The sequence below is a fragment of the Homo sapiens genome, chromosome 16 (genome assembly GCF_000001405.40).
Source record: "Homo sapiens chromosome 16, GRCh38.p14 Primary Assembly".
Taxonomy (NCBI): Eukaryota; Metazoa; Chordata; class Mammalia; order Primates; family Hominidae; genus Homo; species Homo sapiens.
The window spans coordinates 9,151,455-9,157,124 of NC_000016.10; the positions used below are offsets into that span (position 1 = coordinate 9,151,455).

Genomic DNA, 5,670 nt, shown 5'->3' on the forward strand with positions numbered 1-5,670 from the left:
TTTTTTTTTTTTTTTTTTTTTTTTTTTTTTTGAGACAGGATCTCCCTCTGTGGCCCAGACTGGAGTGCAGTGGTGCCATCTCAGTCCAGTGCAACCTCTGCTTCCCGGGTTCAAGCGATTCTCCTGCCTTGGCCTCCCAAGTAGCTAGGATTACAGGAACGTGCCTCCGCGCCTGGCTAATTTATTTTTTGTAGAGATGGGCTGTCACCATGTTGGCCAGGCTGGTCTCTACATCCTGGGTTCCAGCAATCCTGCAGCCTCCATCTCCCAATATGCTGGGATTACAGAGGTGAGTCACTGACCTGGGCCACAGTGTTTACTAAAGAAGAAACAGCCACGTGCTAATCTGAAGGGCATGTATATATTATTAGAGCCCAACAGGAAGCGCAGCAGCTGTTTAGAACTTAGACCAAGGAAAGATTGTTTGGGGGTGGAGTATTGCATGGCTCATGTTGACAATAAAAAACAGACCAGCTTGTGCTTGGTTTTATTCTTGTTTTTAAGTTCTTTTTTCTTTTTAGAGACTGCTGTGCCACCTAGGCTGGAGTGCAGTGGCGTGATCATAGCTCACGGCAGCCTCCAACTGCTGGGGTCAAGTGATCCTCCCACCTCAGCCTCCCAAGTAGCTGGGACCACAGGCACACGCCACCATGCCTAGCTACTTTTTTTTTTTTTTTTGGTACAGTTGGGGTCTCGCCTTGTTGCCCAGGCTGATCTCAAACTCCTGGGCTCAATCAGTCCTCTTATCTCAACCTGCCAGAGTGCTGTGATTACAGGCATGAGCTACCATTTCTGGTCTTTACCCTTTTTATAGATAATGTGGCCCCTTATTGTCTGCACCAGGCGGTCTACTCCCACCACCCCACTAGGCTGGAGGAGGACTAGCATTGATGTGCACCATGCAGAATGGACAGTTGCTACAGAATTCATGCCTGTATTATGATTAACATGGGCCCATGCTGCCTATTTAGGAATTTCTGCATTTCTAGTCTTGTGTGTGGTCCTCATTCAAGCATAAATTAGCGTGTCCCCTCTAAAAAGACCCTTCTCCAACAGGACAAGAATATGGAATTTTCGACAGTTGAGCCTGCTGCTATTTTTCGATGTAATTTGCTGGGGAAGAAAGAGTAGCCCACATGGCTCTGAGTCTTCTGCTCGGGGGATATCAGCAGAAGCGCCAGTCAGATCCCCTTTTTATTAAAATCCTCAAAGTAAATTCCACCGACGAAGTGTCCACACATTACAGAGAGTATCGGAACAGCCAGGCATTTAAAGATGGGCTGGAGGTGGCGCCGGAAGTAGAAGTTTGGAGTTTTAGCTCTGCCCCGGATAATACTGGATGAAATCCCAGCAGAGTCCTTCCTGCCTGGCCCCACCTCCCTCTGCTCACCCCTCCCAGGGAGCCCTACAGCCCGCTTGCTGTGAGCTAGAATCAGATCTGTGCTAGGTTTCCTTCTATCCGTAGCACACCCTGCGGGCTGGACGCTTGCACCCCATTTCGGGGTGAGGAGCTCACAAAGGTTAAGTGAGCAAGTATCTGCGTCTCTAGTGCAAATCTTCCCACTCCTAAGTCCTTCTAGGGCACCCCATGCTTGAATTGTGCGTGTGCACGTGTGTATATGTGTATTTGTGTATGTATGTGTATTTGTGTGTATGTGTTTATGTGTGTGTGTATGTGTGTGTTTTTGTGTATGTGTATTTGTGTACGTGTGTATATGTGCATATTTGTGTGTATGTATGTGTATGTGTTTGTGTGTGTGTATTTGTATGTGTATTTGTGTGTATTTGTACGTATATGCGTGTGTATGTGTATTTGTGTGTATATGTATGTGTGTATTTGTGTGTGTATATGTGTGTATATGTGTGTGTACGTGTGTGTATGTATGTATTTGTACGTGTATTTGGGTGTGTGTATGTGTGTGTATGTGTATTTGTGTGTATGTATGTGTGTATGTGTGTGTATTTGTGTGCACATATGTGTATTTGGGTGTGTGTATGTGTGTATGTGTATTTGTGTGTATATGTATGTGTATGTGTATTTGGGTGTGTGTGTATTTGTGTGTACATGTATGTGTATGTGTATTTGGGTGTGTGTATGTGTGTATGTGTATTTGTGTGTATATGTATGTGTATTTGGGTGTGTGTCTACGTGTGTGTATATTTGTGTGTGTTTGTGTGTATGTGTATTTGGGTGTATGTGTATTCGGGGTATGTGTGTATTTGGGTGTGTGTGTATGTGTGTACGTGTGTATATGTGCGTGTGTATGTGTGTATTTGTGTGTATGTATATGTGTGTATGTGTGTTTGTGTGTATTTGTATGTATAAGTGTGTGTGCATATGTATGTATATGTACTTGTGTGTAATGTGTGTGTATTTGTGTGTGTGTATGTGTATTTGTGTGTGTATATGTATGTGTGCGTGTGTGCTTGTGTGTGTGAGAGTGAGAGTTCCTAGTACCTCTCACACGACCCCCCGCCATGGCCAGTTTCCCAGGTTTGTTTTCTACTCCTTGATTGTCGGTTGTTGGCTTTGTTTGGTCTCTTTGGGGTCCTCCTCTCACTGCACCCCACTCCTGGGCCCTGTTTGAGCTTCCTGAGTCTGCCATAAGAAATGACCACAGCCTGGGTGCCTGCATCAGTAGGACCACAGGGTTGGTTCCTTCTGGTGGCCCTGACTCTGTCCTAGACTCCAGGGCCCCCAGCAACCCTGGGTGCTCCCCGACTTGTGGCTGCATCACTCCAGTCTCTGCCTCCATTGTCACGTGGCGTTCTTGTGTGTCCCTGTCCACATTTCTCTCTTCTTAGAGGTCATTGGAGTGAACGGCTCACCCTAATCCTGTATGACCTTTTTAAACGTTAACTAAAGACATCTGCAAAGACTCTTTCCGAATAAGGGCCTATTCTGAGGTTCTAGGTGGACATGAATTTTGGTACATGCGCCCACCCATCCCGATTCTCATCCCAAAACCTCTTGGTAACCCTCTGCAGGCAAAGGGCCCAATGAGACACCCTCCAGAGCGCCAGGGCAGTGTAGCCAGGGGGCCGTCTAAATCGAATGGCGCACAGAACCAGAGGGCGGGGGGACGTGGCCATCCACCGGGAGAGGGGATGAAAAGGGAGCGGCCGGATGGGTGCGGGTGAAGCGCCCAGGGCTAGGATGCAAACCCAGCGAGGGAGCTGGAGACAATTTTTCCTGTGGCTTCTGCTTGTGATGCAGGAGGAGGGGGTGCGATGAGCTCAGAGACAGCTGGGCAGGATGCGATGCCGGGAACATTCTCCAAGAGTGGGTAGCTCTCTGCTCAGATCTGCATTTGGGGTCGTGGGAGAAGTGCCGCGCTAGCTACTGCGGTGGTTTTCAACCGCACACCCAGACGCCTTACATCAGAATCGCCGAGGGTGGGGCTCAGGCCCCGGGACTTCAAAATCTCTGCAGGTGGTTGTGTTGTGCAGTGGAAGACTGAGGATTTCTGAGCCCGCTTCCCCGCAGGACAGGCACGTTTCCCTGGAGAGGGTGACCAGGGTAGGCTCTGCAGACAAGCAACCTTGAATAGCCCTTTCTCAAGACGAATATTCACCTCCACACAGCTCAGGGCAGGGGCTTGGGGTTGCAGGGGCAGTAACTCATAGAGTACATGGGGGGCATGGGTGGAGGGGGGTCGCTGCTGAAATACTGTCCTCGGGACCTGTCCCTGACAGCCCTGTTTCTCTCCGATTACCCCAGTGACTGCAGCGATAAATCCTGTTCACAGGATCTGGGTGCCTGACAGACTGGAGGGATCCGTCACAGCTACGCTGTCCTGCCCCAGCCGTTAGCAGCCTCCTCTCTCAGTGGGCTCCACACCTGTTTCTCCCTCTGGCATGTCCCCCCTTCCTTCAGATGAACCCCGTGGGAGAGGTGACATTGCTTGCCCTAACACACTGTATTATGAAATGCATTGCATACTCCCCGAAAATTCTCATGTCGAAGTCCTGACCCGCTGTACCTCAGTGTGGGACTGTATTTGAGACAGGGTTTTTAGAGAGATGATTCCATTAACCAACCTAATTGGGTGGGCCCTAATCCAATAGGATTAGTGTCCTTAGAAGAAGAGGTGATTGGCCGGGTGCGGTGGTTCATGCCTGTAATCCCAGCACTTTGGGAGGCCAAGGCGAGTGGATTACCTGAGTCAGGAGTTCGAGACCAGCCTGACCAACATGGTGAAACCCGGTCTCTACTAAAAATACAAAAATTAGCCGGGTATGGTGGCGGGTGCCTGTAATCCCAGCTACTTGGGAGTCTGAGGCAGGAGAATCGCTTGAACCCGGGAGGTGGAGGTTGCAGTGAGCCCAGATTGCACCACTGTACTCCAGCCTGGGCAACAGAGGGAGACTCCGTCTCAAAAAAAAAAAAAAAAAAAAAAAAGGAATAACAAGAGGAAGAAGACGAAGAGGTGAAGACATAGGGAAAAGGCGGCCATCTACAAGCCAAGGAGAGAGGTCTCAGAAGAAACCAATTCTGCTGACACCTTGATCCTGGTCTCCTAGGCTTCAGGATTGTCAGAAAATAAATGTCTGTTGTTTAAACCACCCAGACTGTGGTCTTTTGTTATGACAATGTAAGCAAAGCAATAGACATGCCGGGTGCGGTGGCTCATGCCTGTAATCCCAGTGCTTTAGGAAGTCAATTTGGGAGGATGGCTTGAGCCCAGGAGTTTGAGGCAGCAGTGAGCTATGATCATGCCACTGCACTCCAGCCTGGGTGACAACAGCGAGACCCTGTCTCAAACAAAAGAAAACAAAACAACAACAAAAACACACAAAATAACAAACCAATAGACAGTCCCACTCTGCCCCTGGGGATTTTTGATTTAGCACCCATCCAAGTGATCATTTGCAAACTTTCTTTCTTTTTTTTTTTTTTTTTTTGTAGCCCAGAGGTCCTTTATTTTTTTTTTTTAACACCTATTATTCCATGAATTCATAGGGAATAGGTTCCAGCAGCTCAGGCTCCTTCCCATTGGTTCTCACAAAGTGTGCTACTCTGGGTGGAGCAGGCTGGCGCTTTAGTTGAACCCAGGTACCTTTCTCTTTGGCTTCTTTCTTTTTCTGATCATTTTCCTTCACACGTTTCAGGAAGCTATCTCGGCTCTTAGAGTGCTTAATGTGCTCAATACGCACATTAATTCTCTTGGCAAGAATCTTGCCCTTAACTTGTTTGTTTACAACAATGCCAACAGCATGCTGGGTAACATTGTAGACTCTTCCAGTTTTGCCATGGTAACACTTGTGGGGCATTCCTTTTTGAACAGTACCCATTCCCTTGATGTCTACAATATCACCTTTCTTATAGATTCGCATATATGTGGCCAAAGGAACAACTCCATGTTTTCTAAAAGGCCTAGAGAACATATATCGGGTGCCTCTCCTTTTTCCCTTTGTGTTTGTCATTTTGGCGAATTACTGGAAGATGGCAGTTCCGGCCGAAAGGCTGCAAACTTTATTTCTTAAGCCACGGAGCCCTCTTTTTTTTTTTTTAGACTTGCTCTGCTGCCCAGGCTGGAGTGCAGTGGTGCGATCTCAGCTTACTGCAACCTTCTCTTCCCGGGTGCAAGACAATCTCCTGCCTCAGCCTCCTGAGTAGTTGGGATTACAGGCACCTGCCATCATGCCTGGCTAATTTTTGTATTTTTG

General features: G+C 48.0%; 1 pseudogene, besides 1 other annotated feature; it reads right to left on the reverse strand.

Moving 5' to 3' along the window:
* Window positions 2,618-3,253: an enhancer, noted in NCBI's record as "H3K4me1 hESC enhancer chr16:9247929-9248564 (GRCh37/hg19 assembly coordinates)". NCBI's record gives its function as "activates a minimal SCP1, AML or CMV promoter by ChIP-STARR-seq in naive H9 embryonic stem cells {active_cell/tissue: H9 hESC(naive)}" and the evidence as "EXISTENCE:reporter gene assay evidence [ECO:0000049][PMID:30033119]".
* Window positions 4,888-5,467, reverse strand: RPL21P119 (ribosomal protein L21 pseudogene 119; annotated as a pseudogene).